Source organism: Homo sapiens, chromosome 13, assembly GCF_000001405.40.
Source record: "Homo sapiens chromosome 13, GRCh38.p14 Primary Assembly".
NCBI lineage: Eukaryota > Metazoa > Chordata > Mammalia > Primates > Hominidae > Homo > Homo sapiens.
The window spans coordinates 24,002,964-24,021,562 of record NC_000013.11 but is presented as its reverse complement, the minus strand read 5'-3'; the positions used below and the strand labels follow the sequence as shown (position 1 = coordinate 24,021,562).

Below are 18,599 nucleotides of genomic sequence, written 5' to 3'. Positions count from 1 at the left end.
TTGAGTACAATGCAGCCCAACCTAGCTTTTCAGCCTGATACTGGTTTTTAATTTTTATATTTTTTGTTAAGAGACAAGGTCTCGTTCTGTCACCCAGACTGGAGTAGAGTGGTACAATCATAGCTCACTGTAGCCTCAAACTCCTGGGCTCAAGTGATCCTCCTGACTCAGCTTCCAAAGTAGCTGGGACTACAGGTGCAACTCACTGTCTGCCCTATGCCTGATATTCTCTTAATCATCTTTATGCAAGCTATGCTTTGAGCAAACAGGCATCTTCAGGATTCTCCAAACTTTCTTTCCTTATGCTGTGCTCCGCACTTGGAATACTCCCCATTCTCTGTCAACTCCCAGAAATGCTCCAGCCCTTCTTAGAGGCCAGCTCCTCTCTCCTGCCTCTCCTAATACCTTCCTTTCTGTGGAAACTCAATATACCTTCCTTATATATTGTGTTCTACTTTATAATGCAGGTGTGCACACACAGACATGCACATGTTTATGAGCCACTCCAATTATTTATTTATTGAGATGGAGTCTCAATCTGTCACACAGGCTGGAGTGCAGTGTCTCGATCTAGGCCCTGTGCAACCACCGCCTCCTGGGTTCAAGCAATTATCTGCCTCAGCCTCCTGAGTAGCTGGGATTATAGGCACCCACCACCATGCCCAGCTAATTTTTGTATTTTTAGTAGAGACCGGTTTTCACCATCTCGGCCAGGCTGGTCTTGAACTCGTGACCTTGTGATCCACCCACCTCAGCCTTCCAAAGTGCTGGAATTATAGGCATGAGTCATCTCGCCCGGCCCAAATTATTTATTTTTATGCCCACTTTTAGCATAAAGTGCCTTGTAAATAACATGTACTAAAAAGTATTCATTGAATTTAACTGAAATGTCTCTTAATTAACTGCATAACTTCTGCTTTAATAGAAATGAAAATCATACTACTGCTTATTACAATGTAAGTTAAATTTTATAGATGGATTATCTGAATAGTTTAGCCTGATGGACTGTTAAAGGTTAAATACAATTCGTTTAAGGTTCAACAGCTCCCTCTCACGGCCTCTGAGGGAAACTGGGTTTGTGGGCCAAGAATGGTTTCCAACTCAAATGGATTGTGAATCTGCTTTTAAAATACTAATATATTCTACTTAAGCATTAATGAAAAATTTGATTAAGGTTAAAAAACAAAAAAGTTTTCATAAAGTCACATGTACACAGCACTATATTTTTGCCTTTTTCATAACTTAGAACAATGTCAACTGCATATTGGTTAGAAGTTCAAGCACTCTAACTATAAAATGAAATGCTTAAGTTTGAAATGGAACAGTTTAAAACAAGGAACTAAGTAAAATACCAAAACATTAAAACACACAGATCTCAAAAAAATCCAAATTCCTCAAGTCATCATCCCAAATGTTGGTGTGTTTCATGCCAACAGGGAGAAGCTGTATGCAGCTGGTTAAGTCTGGCTGTCGGTGAGGCTTGGTGCTCTGAGGTGGACTTCCTAAGATAGAAGCTGGAGTCCGCACCTCACACAATGAGTGCAATAAAGATAGAGCTTAAAGGTAAGCTTCAATAAACGTAGATGTCTGAATTCTGACATGGGGGCAAAGAGGTGTGGCTGGCCTGAAAACCACAGAAAGACTCCAGGGCGAGAGAGATGAGACTCCTAACCCTACCAGTCTTCACTGGCATGTTGAAATCTATGCCTGTGAACGCTAATGTGACCTCACTGATAATAGAAGCTTTTCCTAAACACCAAATGATTCTCTACCCTTGGACTCCCATTGCTCTACAGAGCCCTAAGCTGCCTAGGATTCCAACGAGTATTTCAAAATGTCATTTTTTTTTTAGCAGTCCTATTTTATTTTTTAAATAAAATCTGACCTCAGAGAAGCATTATCATTAATGATATTTATTCTAATTATAAAGTACACACAAGAGGAAGAAAGAGAATGCACTAGTAATATTCTGCTCAAGAAAAGTTTCCTAGCTATTTAGCATGTGATATTAAAAATGCTTTAAAATACACATAAATATTTGGCTAGGTAATGGATCTGTAAGTTCACAAACAAAACATAATTACAAAAGTATGCAGAAATTTTAACTAGCTCCACTGCTATCAAACCATACAGTATAAAACTATATACTGTTTTTCTTTTATAAATAAGAATCATGGCCGGGTGTGGTGGCTCACGCCTGTAATCCCAGCACTTTGGGAGGCCGAGGCGGGCGGATCACGAGGTCAGGAGATCGAGACCATCCCGGCTAAAACGGTGAAACCCCGTCTCTACTAAAAATACAAAAAATTAGCTGGGCGTAGTGGCGGGCGCCTGTAGTCCCAGCTACTTGGGAGGCTGAGGCAGGAGAATGGCGTGAACCCGGGAGGCGGAGCTTACAGTGAGCCGAGATCCCGCCACTGCACTCCAGCCTGGGCGACAGAGCGAGACTCCGTCTCAAAAAAAAAAAAATAATAATAATAATAATAAGAATCATATAACTTAGGAGCCCCTTCTTTAGACACGTTCACTTTCCCTGAATATCAACCAAATTCTAATATGTCTGTTGAGATCCACTCAATCAGATATGCCTCAGTATTCTTCTGCATCTTAAATATTTGAAATGTCCTAAAACAGACAAATTAAGTTTTTCATACTTTGTCATAATTATTTCTCGAGTGTACACCAAATGCTTTTGAAGTAACACACAAAGATATGTGACTGATAATCCACTCGTATGATACACAAAACGTTGGAACCTAAATGCTGTAATGTAATTCTTCTCACAAACAAATGTGAATAGTTAAAAATTTCAAAAAAAATGCATCAGTTAAGTAAAACACAGGACAAATAGCAAATGAAAAGTCAATGTTAGGTGAGGCCTATGGTGCAGATCAATAAGTAACCCTCTGCTAAAACATCAAACAAGCAGCGCTCACCTCGCCAATTAGCTGTGCCTCTGTGTCATCATTGGCTATTAATGCGTAGACCTCTCAGGTTTTCTGAGACCTAAACATAATCTCAAATTAAATTATCTAAATTTTGTATTGTCTAGCTCGTTAAAGATTTTCAGAAGCTGCGTTCCACTTTAATTGGAGAAAAAGGAATTTAAAAAGATATTTCATTTATTACCTAAAAGACCTTCCTCAGATTCTTTACTTGTTAGTCTTTAGTTGGGTCCAACAGGTAAATCACAGTTACAAATAATGCTAAGATGGAAAAAACGATCTTTTGCAACATTTCTATTTGTCCATCAAAAAAGACATTTTGACCTTACAACTATGAAGTGGTTTGTAATACAGTTTAATCTACAACAGGACTTAAGTATGTCATATTTATGAACACGTGCACATTTCTATTAAAATGTGTTCAACTCTAAGGTTATATTCATCCAGTAACAAACATACAAAACCCAAAACACTCCCAGGTTTTTATCACAGTAAAGTATCTTAAAATGTAAGACTCGTGATTGGTTTTCCACGGGTGTAAGGTGATTCATTTGTATTTGCTTTCAAAACAAAATCATTCCCAAGTTTGCCTATAAATGGATTGGCCACACTAGCAGAACATTTAGTAGCAATAGTGCATATTAATGAAATCCATGTAGGGTCTAAAATTTTGCTAAGAGGAGGCCTCACTTCACAAAGGAAGAAGTCATCTCAAATACCTTGACAGATGATATGTTTTGAAAGTCAAGAAAAGTGTGAAACTATCAAATTTGTGGTGATTTTAACAGTATGTTACAGAGGTAACATATGGATTACGGAGTTAACATACAGATTATACAATCTGCAAATGGAGGTAGGATTTAAAGGAGAAAGAAGGAGGAAGGAGAGGGAAGAACGGACTCGAGGCCCTTCTTACCGAGTTTCTGCACCAGCTACTCTTGAAGACAAGCTCTGGAAAGGAAAAAAATGAGTTGTTTTAGTGCACAGATGTGTGAAAACAGGTTAGCTGAGGTTAAATCGGAATGCCAGACAGGGTCTATCTGATCTAAAAAATATATGTAAACAAAAATGTATATATACATATGTGTGTATATCTTACATATACATATATACACATACAAACACAGACACACATACATCTCTCACATGGCCTTAAGAGCAGAATTTTAGAGCATGGAGAAAAGCTCTGCCCAAGAGATTTAGATTTAGATCACACTGTGCGTTTTCAAGCTCTAAGCCCTGGGTTTCCAATCCTCTGAATTCAGGTCAAGCACGTGGGCTTACGTAGGTTCTGGTTCGGGTCCACCACTCACTTGCTGCACGCCCAGGCAAATTATTCTATTTCTCGGATGAGGATAAGAGAATTGTGAGCATTAACTGAGTTATCGTCTCAGAGCAGTGCCTGGCACGTGTGAGCATGTGTAAATGCATGCTGTTATTTTGGCGATTTGTTCTCTATTCGTAACTCAGGAGTGCTCACTCATCTACTGATGTTACCTCAACTCTCTGCCCTGGCCCAGGGCTGGGCCCCATGGGAAGGATGTCTGCCCCCTGACCCTGTCACCTCCTCCCACACTTCGGGCGCTCCTCACTACCTCCTGCCTTCCTGAGGCTGCCGAGTCTGTGTCAGGCCCCACTTGGTGTTCATCACACCCTCCATGGGCTCCACCATCCACTGTCATTCAGTAACTAAAACTGTATTCATTGAAGGCTGGGCATGAGCCTGGGCGGGGGCAGCGCCATCCTGCACCAGCCCTGGATTCTCTGCACCCTGGGATTTGTCAGGCTCATGTTATCGTGCAGCAGCCAGGCCTTGGGGTGCAGAGCCACCACCCTAGTGCTGAACTGGGGCACAATGCACGTCCCAGAGTGCCTTCCAGGGGCTTTTCTCTGCACAAGGACAATGAAACTTCTGGAAGAGAACACTGGGGACACGCAGCTCAGGAAACTGAGAGCCAGGAAGGAGAGGGAGCGGGGAGGTACCCCCACAGCCCTGCAGGCCATGCCCGGGCCCTGGACACTGAGCCTGCTTAGGAAGAGTCAGTGGAGGTCAAGGTGAACCCAGCGGCCCTGCTTGGCTGTGGGCAAAGAAGGGCACCTTTGAGCCTAGCATTGTGGTTGTGGCCTGCATCATAGCTGCCCAGGCACCAAAGGACGCTCCCAATTCTTCCAGCAAGAATTTGAGAAACGTGAGAAGTCAATTAAAGAAAACTGATGTGACATCCAGGGTGATGTCAGAAATGGGAAGATGTCACATCTGGATCCAAATGGAAATGGTAGCTACTGGGAAACAGCTCTCCCAGCCTCAGGAAGAGCCGCAGCTGCTTCCTGGAGGGCCCAGGGCCACGTCCTGGAGGATGGAGCACTCCAGGGGTGGGCAGGGATGGACCCCACTGGCCTCCACCCCTCACAGGAGGAGCCAGGAGTGGGGTTGAAGGACAAGCCACAAACACAATTCCGGGCAGGTCTCAGGGGTGTCTGAGAAAGACATACGCAGAGTCCCGAGTCCTGCCAGGGACTTGGAACGGGGCTCTGCCATTTTCCTTGTGGAGCTCAGAACCATGCCACGTGTCACTGTGGCTCACACTATTGCAGCCAACACATACACACCGCGTACCCTCCAAGTCACTGTGGAGCCAAGGAGCCGCGACATCCGAGGGCAGAAGGACGAAGGACAGAAGCGTGTCTTTGATGCTCAAATCCCACTGCCTGAGGAAATGCCTCTGTGTTTTAAATTATTTCTAAGAACCAACAACTTCATTTTGCTGATTTAGGTGGGGTCATGAGGGGACTATGACGTGTCACCAGCCGAGGCTCACCTTGGCATGGTTTGGCTGGAAAGACCCCAGAAACGGTGGACCTAGGAATTGGGGGGGGGCCTGCCAGGGGTCGCCCCAAAGGGGAAGGATCAGGAAGGCCGGGGGTGTCCTGGCTGGTCTGACCTTCTAGGGGATGGCAGGGAAAAACCTTCTGGGATGAACCATGAGCAGAAAAGAAGCCCCATGAGTGGGCAATGGTGAGAGTGAAGCAGAGGGGCCAGGTGGCCCCTGGCTCAGGGTCAGGCCTGACTCAGCTCACAACAGGGTCATATTCAGGTTTTTTATTAAATTACTGCTAACAGAGAGGGGATGCCACAGGAGAAACAAGCTTGGAAGCAGGGCTGTCCCCGAAATTAGTTTTTCCTCACATGTACTTTGAAGAAAGGATTTTCTTAAAATGTACAGTCCAGCTAGTTCCTCTCAGCAAAAGGTAAATTGCTAAGGCTTTTACTTAGGTTCTCTATTTGGGAAAAAAATTAAATAATGTCATGTGTCTATTTTGCAGTAAACTCTGGCTTTCAGCGATGTTTTTGCTTATAAGACTTTTTGTATCTATTCATCTCTCGTTAAGAGTCACAGAGGTCATTGTTTACTATAAAAATCCAGTGGCCAGGCACGGTGGCTCACATCTGTAATCCCAGCACTTTGGGAGGCCAAGGCAGGCAGATCATGAGGTCAGGAAATCAAGACCATCCTGCCTAACACGGTGAAACCCTGTTATCTACTAAAAACACAAAAAAATTAGCCAGGCGTGGTGGCGGGTACCTGTAGTCCCAGCTACTTGGGAGGCTGAGGCAGGAGAATGGCATCAACCCAGGAAGTGGAGCTTGCAGTGAGCCCAGATAGCGCCACTGCACTCCAGCCTGGGCGACACAGCGAGACTCTGTCTCAAAAAAAAAAAAAAAAAAAAAAAAAAAAATCCAGAAAGTGCCAAAAAGGGAACCTGGATCTCAGAACTACAGCAATCCTGTGGAAATCTTAACCAAAAGGGAGAAGACAGGAACTGAAATAACTTGTGTGAATAACACCCTTAATTCACAATTGAAATCAGGATTTGTTTCCTCTCATCAGTTTCACTAAACCACTTACCTTCCTTTTAAAGGAAGTTGTTAAATAACAATAGTAAATTTTAGGAGAAGACATACACTATTTTGTTACAAACTAACAGACCACAGGATGAAGGCCTTTACCTGGATGATCCACTTGCACTTAATGAATAAATATATTTTCTCTTTCTTATGATTTTCAAATATTATTTTCTCTAGCTTACTTTATTGTAAGACTACAGTATACAGTACATATAACATGCAAAATATGTGTTCATCCACTGACACATTATCGGTAAGGCTTCTGGTCAATAGCAGGCTATTAGTAGTTAAGTTTTGGGGGAGTCAAAGGTTACATGCAGGTTTTGAAAGGCCCCAGAAACAGTGGGGCCATTTCTGCATGGGGGAAGGGGGGTGTGTTGGTGCCCCCGAGTTGTCAACTTTAGTTATGATGAGGTCATTAGGGTGAGAGCCTAATCCAATATGACTTGTGTCCTAATGGAAAGGGAGACTCTGGACACAGACATGCACACAGGGAGAATGCAATGTGGAGACTGGAGTTAAGCTACCAAGAACTGGGAGAAGGGCTGGGCCCCGACCTTCCCTGGCACCTGCAAAAGGAGCATGGCCCTGCTGACCCTGTGGCCTCCAGCCTCCAGGACAGCGAGGCAAACCATTTCTGTTGTCAAAGCCACTCAACTGTGGCACAGCAGCCCTAGCAAGCGTATACAGCCCCTTTGCGTGACGGGTTTGGAGGCTCTGACTCTAGCACACTCCAGACTTGCACATCGAGTCAGTACAGCACAACAGCTTAAAACAGGCTCTGCAGTCAGAAAGGCCTACAGTCCATTACCTGCTCCCAATAACCTCATGAACAACATGACCAGGCTGAGCTCTGATTTTCTCATGGGTCAAACGGCTATTGACTGTATGCAGCACCCAAGCCTTCGAGGTTTTTAGAGGACAAAATAAATGAACACATGTGGCACTCCTAACACTGCAGACTGTTGACAGCCTGGTCTTCTGGGGCAAAAAAAAAAAAAAAAGTGGAAAAAAAAAAGACTGTAAGGGACAAGGAGCAAGTGGGTGGTAAGGAATGAAAGCGATGGGTGTAGGTTACTCTTTCAAAACATTTTCTCACAAAAGGCAAATTAGAGATCAATAAGATCTTGGAAGAATTCACAAGGTCAGGAAAAAAGTACCTTTTTAGGATAAGGGCGACTTAAGCTTGTGTGTAGATTTCTTGTCCCCATTCTCAGAGTAGGTAGAATCCTGGGCACTGTCCCCAAGCAGTGTCCCAGGTATGGGGGGCAAGGCACAAGGGTGAGGGGGCTGCCCATGGGCCCCAGAGCTGGGACAAACCAGGAGGGAAACTGAGCAGCAAGTGGGAGAGGATCGTCAGCCCAGTGGGTGAGGGAGGGGAGGAACGGGCTGGCAGTGGGCATGCAATGCTGTGGAAGCCAGGGTGCTCAGATGAAATCAGAGTTCCACTTACAGAGCGGGAGCTGAGCTGAGGAGAAGTTCCTTGGGAGAAAGAGCATGAAACAGTGCAGCACGCGTGGGGAGACAGGAAGAGCTCTAAGCCCGTTTCAGTGGGAGAAGAGGAGGCTGAGGTTTTTCCATGTCTGCACAGGTTGCCATGTACCCCCCACCCTGGCTCTGGGCTCAGCCACATGGGCTGCAGCCAGTGGGGTATTAGCAAAGGGGTGACAATGGGCCCTTGGAAAGCTCACACAGTGTGGCTTTGCTTGCTCCCCACTCTGCCGTCACGGTGAGAAGGTGTCGGGCTGGCCTGCTGGATGAGGGAGAGTTGTGGCCTAGGTGTGCCCTGTCCCCAGCCACAGCTGGGGAGTGCCAGCCACAGGAGGGAGCCCAGCCCAAGCCCGTGAAAGCCCCGACCTGCAGACGCATAAACCAAACAGATGCCACTGTCTGCAGCCACGGGGCTCAGGGTGGTGTTCTGGGCATTGCTGTGGCAACACTGACTGTTGCAGTGGGCATGACTGCTCCTATGCCCGTGCCATTCCCAGCAAGGCAGGTGCTGTAATCACAGGCTTGCAGCCTGCACCCCGCCCACCACACACTTGGGGGTTGGCTGCGGAAGACGGGGAGGGAACAGACTCCAGGAGCTTGTCAGGGCAGAAAAAGATCAACCAGGGGAGCCCCTGAGAGGGGAAGACCATGAACTTGATCAACATGGCCAACTCGAAGGGCCAAGTGAGAAGCCTATCAAAATTGCCATATGCTTGTCCTCTCCCACTCCTTGGAGACAGTAGGCACAGCCTTTGTCTCTGTCCTGTTGTACTAGAGGACACCCTAATGGTGTACCTGGGTGGTGTGTACTTCTCAAGATACTGACCAACCACGAGCATCTGCTGGTGATGTCCCCCTGCCTGGGGGCAACCTTGACCAAGATAGAAGAGAGTTTCATCTGTGAGCTGCCCTATGCCTCAGAGGCTAAAAGTATTTTGGTCCTTAAGTAGAAAGTAGTTATCTCTTCTGGAGGAGTCCCTAGACCCTTCTACCAGTGATGGAGGGTCTGGCTGTGACGCAGGTGAAAAGATTCCCCAGGAAAGAGACTGATACCTCTGCAGGCTTTCATCATAGGCTGGTTACACACCTGGCTTCTTGACAGTGTGTTTGCCAGTGACACAGGTCCCTCACATCCTTGCTGGGGCCCATGGTCAGACACAATGGCTGCAAGAAACCACTGCCTTCATCTTCTCAGTAAGTCATCAGCAAGTTTTGTTTAGGGTGGTGGGCAAGCCCCGGTCCCTGTGCCTGTGAGTTTTACAATCCGTAGGGGGAGGCGGAGGTGCACATTGAAGCCTCCGCTGCAAGTTTAAAGAAGAAGGCTGAGCATTCTGGGTCTGTGGGATCATCCCTCATGGTCCCCCAAGTTTGCCTGTGCAGGTGGGCTCTGCCCCTAAGTTCCAGGCCATCTACCCAGGCTAGCACCAGCAGGCTGGACAGATGGCTGCTTGGCCAGAGCTGAAGACTATGTTCTCTGCATGCCCCCTGCCAGGAAGGATGTTGGAGACTCCCAGGCTCCTGCTTAACTAGTAGAGTTAGAGCCTGGTGTTTTCAGCCACACCAAGAGAAGAAAGCAAGACAGGGCCAGTGCCTTGTTGGTGGATCTGAGGGTCCTGGTGCATGGGACATGCTAGTCTGTATCCATATCAGGCCCATCAGGAGCATGGCCAGCCCACAGCTGGAGGGCATCAGCCAGCCAGGACAGGGAGCGTGGCAACAGAATTCCAGGTTCTGTCCTCACCAGCAGGGACACTCTCAACCACCTGCTGCTGGGTCGCCACATTCTCCAGGGGAGGGCAGCAAGCCAGACCTGCCCAGAACGGTCTCAGGGATCCCTGAGTCCTCAGCACTTGGGCCCAGACCAGCTGCGGAACGTGAGACAGCATGAGATGGCCAAGCCGGCCGGCACTGCCTCAGAAATGAAAGGAAGGGAAATTCCTAGAACCAGGTGCTCAGGGTGGATGCCCACTCCCCTGGGAGGCAGGTGGGAGCTCCGAGTGCTGATCCAGGCTGGGAGGTGGCACCCAGGCAAGATGGGTCTCGCTGGGCTGAAGCAGCCTTGTTTTCCTGCAGTGTGGCTCTACAGGGAGGGGCCCACGGCCAGGTGGTCAGGACCTGGGGAGAAACCAAAGCCAAGGTTGCAGAGGAGTCAGCAAACTGCAGAGTGCAGGCATATCCCAGCAGTATGGGTGCAGAGGGAAAGACAGAAGAAAGCAGTAAGGCAGAGAGGGAACATTCCTCTAGGACAATCCGAGGGGTCTCCATCCCCTGGGACCTCAGTCACCAGTGGGGCAAAGCATTTAGCAACCATTTGACATGCTGGAATGGCAAACCATTCCTAGAACCAGGTGCTCAGGGTGGATTCTAGGAATGGTTTGCCAACCAGCACGTCCCATGCACCAGGGCCCTCAGATCCACCAACAAGGCACTGGCCCTGCCTTGCTTGCCAAGACACCATCCAGGCCTTGGGTGAATTGCCCCATGGAGGAGCAGGAGGGAGGGAGGAGTGGGGAGGAAGATTCATGGGAGGAAGAAAGGATGGAGGAAGGAAGTAGACTGCTGGGAGGAGAAGCAGATCCAACTCAGGCCACAGGTGGAGGAGCTTCCAGGCACGAGGGATCAAGGGACTGTGAAAGGAAAATAAATCTTGGGACCCCGAAATCACTAAGCCCAAGGGAAAAGTCAAGCTGGGGTTAGGCAAACCTGCCTCCCATTCTATTCCTAAATAACGTAGCTACAAAGATGAAAAAAAAAAAAAAAAGCTACATACCTCCCTCACAATATGCCCACAAGGAAACTCCTCAAGATCTTTACCCTAAAACAATTCTGCTGAATTTCACTTTGGTGATGTAAAGTGATGGCTTATCTTCACAGATGCGGAACAAAGAAGAGAACTCAAAGTCATCTGTCTGCTCATCTAAGGCAAATGCATATCTGATTGCTTCCTCTGCCCCACTGTTTATATAAAAATGCAGATTCGCTGAGCCAGACTAAGAAGCGACTACTATCCCCTCTCACATATAAATTGTTTAATTCAGTGAAAGGCTGATCATAGATCCAAAAAGAATGCAACCATTTATCTCTTATCTACCTATGACCTGGAAGCCCCCTCCCCACTTCGAGTGGTCCCACCTTTCAGGACAAAACCAGTGTACATCTTACATGTATTTGATTGATGTCTCATATCTCCCTAAAATGTGTAAAACCAAGCTTTACCCTAACTGCCTTGTGCACATGTTGTCAGGACTGCCTGTAAACCAAAAATAAAATTGTAAGCCCCCCAACCATCTGAATGGATGTCTCCTCTTGGCCAAGGGCATTCCAAAGTTAACCTGAAAAAGTTATTTAGGCCAGGATGGAAGGGAGGTAAGACATGCCTCATTATACCCTCCTCCTTTTTGGAATTCAAAAAAAGCCGACCAGAGTTAACATCAACAGACCTTAAGTCTGATAAGAAACATTTACAATCTGTTTTCTCTGAAGCCTGCTACCTGGAGGCTTCATCTATATGATAAAACTTTGGTCTCCACCACCCCTTATCATCCTAACCCAAACATTCCTTTCTATTGATTCTAGGTCTTTAGATAGTAACCTAACTCTTTCAATCAATTGCCATTCAGAAAATTTTAAAATCTACCTATGACCTGGAACAATCCCACACCCTGCTTCAAGTTGTCCCATCTTTCCAGACCAAACCAATGTACATCTTTACATGTCTTTGACTGAAGTCTCATGTCTCCCTAAAATGTATAAAACTAGGCTGTAGCCCAACCACCTAGGGCACATGTTCTCAGGATCTCCTAATGGCTGTGTCATAGCTCATGGGTCACTCATATTTGGCTCAGAATGAATCCCTTCAAATATTTTACAGAGTGTGATTCTTTTCATTGACAGTAACCTTGGCAAAATAAACTTTCTAAATTAATGGAGACGTATCTCAGATACTTTTGGTTCACAGGACCATGGGAGAAGGGTGGCCCTCCTTGCTGGACCAGCTGAGCCTCTCACTTCCACATGGTGATGTCTGGGATGCACTGAACTAAATGTGTCAGCTCCAGGAAGAACCAGAGCAGAGTTTAGGTGGGGATAGCAGGCTGGCTGAGGTTTTCAGGGCACCCTCAGCAGGGCCTGGCAGAGTTCTTGGGTACCCACAGCAAAGAGACCTACCCCACGTGATGGATGGCATGCCCCTGGCAGCAGAGAGCCCGCTGGCTGAGGCCACTGCTCAGCACCTCTTGTGCTGCTCCTTGTTCCTGATTCTGTTTGGCAAGAGCAGCCCCCACCTCCCGCACTTGGTCCCAGAGCTATGCTTTCCCCCCTCTTCCCTCCTCCTTGGCTGAATGGCTGTCTGGGGCCTGTGGGTCATTCCATCAGTGAGTCATTTTCATGGACAGGAGCTGCAGAAGATAGGCCTGAGAGCCATCAGGGGATGGGGGCAGTGAGGTAGGAGTACATGGGGGTGGACAGGGAGCTGGGGGCCAAAGGTTTCCAGGTCTCTGCCAGGTGACTCACAGCAGATTCACCTCTGCCTTCCTCAGCTGGCCCAGGCCTGCTGCCTCCTCCAGTGTTCCCCTTCTCTTCATATTAAACACAGCTTCAGTCCACACTCTAGATTGCTCTTTTCTTTCTTGATCTCTCTCTCTCTCTCTCTCCCCTCCCCTTCTCCTGCTCTCCTGCTCCCTACCTCTTATCTGAAGTCACCACCAACAAGACCGTCCACCTGGAGAGCTGTGGAGGGGCTGGGGGCACCGCCCTCTTTCATGGTGGCCCATGACGAAGGCACTAAGAGCTGCCGGCTATGGAGCATCAGCGTCAAGATCAGCCAGCCCCAGGGACAGGGCCTGGCCATTCCAGCTGGACAAGGAGTCAAGGCTTTGCAGGTGTTCTCTTTCTCTGAGATGAAGGAAAACTGAAAGAAGAGCCCCTCAGCCCACAACCTTCAGGAGTGAATTCAGGTGCATTTTCTCCTGAAATTTACAGATAACCTGGTCTGATCATCAAGAGCTTTAGGTGACTGAAATCTCTTTATGTGTTGTGCAATAAATGACCCGAGGGCACACAGTGTGTGGCTGTGGTCACAAGCTCTCCCTCAGCACACCAGCTTGAACCTCCTTCCTTAACCTTCACAGGGACACACACCTGGGTGGTTCGGCTCCCATGAGTGGGGCTGCTGCAGACAGGAATCATTCACACACTTTGCAGCCTGGTCTGCAGAGCAGCCTTTGGGCCGCGCCTGCCTCCATTTCCCCCCAGGACTTCTGGGTTATGCTTGAGGTAGAGCTAATTTCTGTCCTTTCTTGGGGTGGCATGTGCACCCAGATCATGATGACAATAAATACTGTTTATTAAGTCTCACCATGCATTGAGTATATGTAATATTTCATTTAATCTTCACAGTGAATGCATGAGCTGAGTAGTACTGTTACTCTTAAATTTAAAATGAAAAAACCCTGGCTGGGCTTGGTGGCTCACACCTGTGATCCCAGCACTTTGGGAGGCCAAGATGGATGGATCACTTGAGACCAGAAGTTCAAGACCAGCCTGGCCACCATAGCCATTTTTAGTAGAAAAGCTGTCTCTACTAAAAATACAAAAAATTATCCAGGTGTGGTGGTGCCACCTATAATCCCAGCTATTCAGGAGGCTGAGGCATGAGAACTACTTGAACCTGGGAAGCAGAGGTCGCAGTGGGCCAAGTTCGCACCACTACACTTCAGCCTGGGCTGACAGAGGGAGACTGCACCTCTAAAGAAAAAAGAAAAAGCCCCAAGCCTTGCAACTTAAACATCACCCAGCTTGTCCCTGGTGCAGCAGGATTTTGAACCCAGCAGTCAGTCGCCCCAGGGGCCAGCTACTGACCACAGACATGACACCCACTCACTGAGCCCAGTCCCCTCCACAGGCAAGCCTCACCCCTCAAAGATGCAAGCAGTGGCCTAGCCTGGCCTTTCCTCTGACCAGAGGCTGGCCCTAAACATGTCACTCAGCAGAAGGGTATTAAACTCTGCAGAGGGCTCAGAGCCTCAGGGCCACCAGGCAACCGGCACAGGCCCTTGCAATGCTTGGCAATCAGGAGAGGCACTGACAGAGGTGACTACAGTGCCAGAGGGCAGCTAAGGGCCAGCAGGAAGGTCACACTCAGCTGAGGGGACACTGGACGGGAGGCCTTGTGCACAAGCTGGCCTTCAGACTGCATCCTAGAGGAAAGGGGGCTCCACACGGAAGGAAGGAGGGGTGCACAGGATGGGGGAGGCTGGCCCAGAATGACAAAACTGTGACAAAGCCCAGGCAATGCCACAGCATCCTCCTTCCAGAGAGGGGCTTCGTGTTAATTGCCGAGCGGGGGCATCCTCTCCCCCTACACCATCGACGTGGCTTCCCTGCGCTCTTAGAGTAAAATCCCAGAACAGCAGCCCTTGTCAGAAGCTGGCACATGAATGCAAGGGCACCAGGAGCTTGGGCTGCGTGTCCCGGTGCTCTCCCAGCTCCACCATGTGTAGGCTGGCCTCATTGCAACTCAGCTCCCCAGCTCTTAAAATGGGACCATAGCCGTGCAGGCCCCTAAGACAACTGTGGTGACCAAATCAGCCGGCACCTCCCAGAGTTAGGGTCCAGTCAACCACACCTGCAACTGTGATGAATTAGTACTTGGGCCGGCCTGGCCTGGCCTCTATTCGCTCCTCTGCCGCACCTCGTGCCCTGAGCCTCCCAGTTTGCTGTGTTCCTTTTTCAGTTCTTTCGCACATCACATTAGATGAAATGGGGACATGCTGGAAACATGTTTGTCTTGTCGTTGTCTGACACCGTTGCTCATTTATACTGTGTACAGATTTTATTCTATCACATTTGCAATCTCAAGGAACCTCATGTTATGAAATGCTTGAGGTGCCACGAAGGCCCTGTGTGTTTACCTGCTGATGAGTTAGTTGATCTCATGAACACTCAAGAGTGACATCTTATGAATACTGGGAATAAGAAAACTTGTAATACAAAAAACCACTAATGAACACTGACATTTAGACTTACCCTCTATACCCTCCCGGATATGCTTTAACATGTCAATTATTAACCTCTCACCTAATAATAGAATTATGGTGGTTACTCACAAAGTGGCTGTCTCTCCTCTGCAGCTCACACTGGAAACTGCAGGAACACAGCAGGCACCTCCGGCTGCTTGCAGCCCAGCCAGTCTGACCCTGGCCTTCTCAGGGGATGTCTCCTATCCCGAAGCATGGGTCCAAACAGAGCAATTGTGTAGCAGAACAGGTGATGATTATGCAAGAAACAGTACGGTCTTTTAGAAGATCAGCTCTAAAGGTCAAGGGGGTGGATGTCTTTATTAAGAAGGGAAAAAAATGTCAGCTATGCTGCTGTGTGCAGAAAAAGGAATCCACTCCTCCATTGACAAAAATGCCCATGCTGCATCTTGCTGAGCCTCAGATCTAGCTTTCAGGGTTGTGGCAAATCTAAAAGCACATGCATTCCTCAGAAAATGCCCCTCTACAGCTCGTGTGTTCTCTGACCCTTTACATGACACATACCAGCTGTTCTTCACATTATTTGAAAGACACTTTTATGAACTCAGATCTCCCCCATCCCTCTCCCACCCCCTGTCCCCACACCTAAAATTCAGGAGTTCATCCCTTTACCAGGGAAGAAAGCTGTATAATGGCCCTTTTTCACCAAGGATTCCATATTCCCCAAAGCATCCTTAAAACTGTAGTTTCCATTTTCTCCCTGCATACACTCCATTTCTCGTACTTAAATATGAGCTCCTGTCCTGGGCTTACCCTGCTAGGCACCAGGTGAGCACTATATTCCTGAGCTGCTTCTGTGGTCTAAGAAGCAAGGCAACCCTCCAATTCATTGAAGATCTCCAATTCTCGCCTCTAAACATACAAGTATCTTTTAGGAATGTGACTTCATAATCTATCCAGATTTAGCAAACACGGTAAAAATTTAAGAATCAAAACAGTTTTCAAATGTGAGCACAATAGCCAGGCTACCAGAAAACAGAACTGATTTGCAATTAAATGCTGATGTCATCTTTCAGCATCTGTTAACTTCTCCCCTAGCGACTCAGAGAAAGCAGAGTTCTTCCAAATTAAGGACTCTCAGAAAAGTACTTACTTTGAGAAACTCTTAGCTCTTTTAAAATGGAAAGCAATGTGGCAAAGATAACCTATATGTCATGAAAAAGTAGCCATGTAAAAGGGAATGTAGATTCATTTTCAGATGTGCACAATGAATTCATTTGATTTATTCTCACAGACAGTAAATAGATTGTGATGATAATAGGACAGCTAAAGCCAAGATGTGCAATTTAAGCTTTCACTGCAAATTTGATAATGGGAAGGGTTTGTGGTTTAATGTGGGGGTCTCAGGTGGCTGGCATTTTGCTGAGTATCCTTTTGCATCTTACTATTATTAGCCTACTGTCACTGTAGACTCTCCCACAGCTTTCACGGATACTGTGACTGAACATAATTTGGGAAGATAAATCGTATGGAATGTAAATTTTCAGCCCTGTGTGTATGGAGCAGTCTCGGAATTGATTTAATTGATGCACTGTGCTGACCACACCTGCGTCTTCCTGGGGCAGGGTCTGTTGCCCACAGCCAGCTCCAGGACACCCAGGAGAACTCCCAAGGAAGGAGCACCTTCATAAGGGGGCAGCCCTACCCTCCCTGAGTCCCGTCTGCGCCCCTGTGAGGAGCCCCTCACCCCTGGATGGCCACAGAGCTAAGAAAACCCCTTGGTTTTCCTAGAGAACTAGAGAGCCGGGAAATAAACAAATATACTGTGGTCCATCCAACCTGGATGAGAGAAATCTAACAATAAGTAAGCACAGTTGCCACACTAACTGTCAACACTGCCGTAAATGGTATCTGTTCAAAGTGCGCAGATAGGTGTTGGTACAAGAACCGGGATTTCACTCCTGACTCTTTATTGACTGATGACTGCAGAGCAAAATTGTGTATCTGCTTTTCAATTTCATCTTCTAATAATTCATCTTTCTTTATGAAATTTACAAACTCGGGGTTCATGATGCTTTGGAGATTTTTTAAAGCCGTGTTTCACCAAAGACAGAGACATGCTACCCTAGGAAGGAACCCAAGTCCCTGAACGACCTTGAGGACAGACCAAAGCCCAGGAGTGCCCACCAGGAACTATGCAAGGAGACAAGAGTCAACTTCTATATTTAAAAGACAATAGTAATAAGTGCTGTTTCTGTGTGTATGTATATGAAGCAAGTGTACAAAACAATGCTGCAGGAGGAGGGGGAGTGTGGCTGAAAAGGGACTTCTGCTGTATTGGTTCTTGTTTAATGGGTTCTGTATTTGCTGATGTATATTGTGTTTTTTCCCACGTCTCTAATATTGTATTAAATATGTGAGTCAAATCAAGTATAGAACAAAAAGGAAGTATTTTAAAATCATTACTATAATGGATAATGGCTGATGTATAACGTAAAGACAAATACTTTTGCAAATATTTTGCATTAGTTAAAAAATGGACTTTCTACAGTCATAATACTCTGCTTCAATCTAAAATTGCTTGAAATGCATTATATGCAATTAAATCTGTATTCATTACTACTAATATAATACGAAAAGAACTGAATACACGATGAAGGTTCTAATCTTAGTTCTGTTTCTTTTAAAATCCTAGGTTTTCTTAAGAGAAACTTGTTATCTTAAAGCCTTTACATGCTTCCAAAGAAAAAATTACGCATTACTTGCTTTGTGGCACAGCAGCCTTAATTCAGGTTCCTCATGAAGACATGCACAGTACCCTTTCCTGTGTGCACTCCATTCATTATTTGAATTCTCAATCTTTTTACCACCTTCTCTTGTAAACCTGCTGTTATCTCATGGCTCAGTAATGAAATTGTTACTGGTGTCAGAGAAGCTGTGCTTAGTTTAGGATTTCTGTAATGGAAACATCAAAATGGCTTAATCCAACACCTTCTCTGAGTGATCTGGCCTAGGCACTCCCCTTTCTATCTATAGGTACATCTAAGCATCCATACACACACACACACACCCCTGCATTTATAGACCAGCGTGGGGAAAATGCTACAGACAGAACCATTGAAAACCAGACAGATGGGATTTTGAATAAAAGGGCAAATGCTGTAGTTCGGAAGACTGAGTCAATGGCCACAGGGAACTGTCTGCCCATACACTCCTGGCCTGAGATCATAGGGAGAATTAACAGAAGAAGAACAAATGATGGCAATTTTCTCTGTTCAC

At 46.7% G+C, this 18,599-nt stretch overlaps 1 protein-coding gene across 2 annotated transcripts in view, besides 1 other annotated feature; it reads right to left on the bottom strand.

Moving 5' to 3' along the window:
- Window positions 1-18,599, bottom strand: part of SPATA13 (spermatogenesis associated 13) — a 327,268-nt gene that overhangs the window by 285,507 nt on the left and 23,162 nt on the right. For both annotated transcript variants that reach the window (NR_104595.2, NM_001286792.2), the window contains exon 3: window positions 3,862-3,896. Coding sequence is in view for 1 of the 2 variants with exons in the window: in NM_001286792.2 (NP_001273721.1) it covers window positions 3,862-3,896 (35 nt within the window). In the remaining variant the exon portion in view is untranslated. The remainder of the gene's footprint in view (window positions 1-3,861; window positions 3,897-18,599) is intronic.
- Window positions 4,298-5,199: an enhancer, noted in NCBI's record as "H3K27ac-H3K4me1 hESC enhancer chr13:24590503-24591404 (GRCh37/hg19 assembly coordinates)". NCBI's record gives its function as "activates a minimal SCP1, AML or CMV promoter by ChIP-STARR-seq in naive H9 embryonic stem cells {active_cell/tissue: H9 hESC(naive)}" and the evidence as "EXISTENCE:reporter gene assay evidence [ECO:0000049][PMID:30033119]".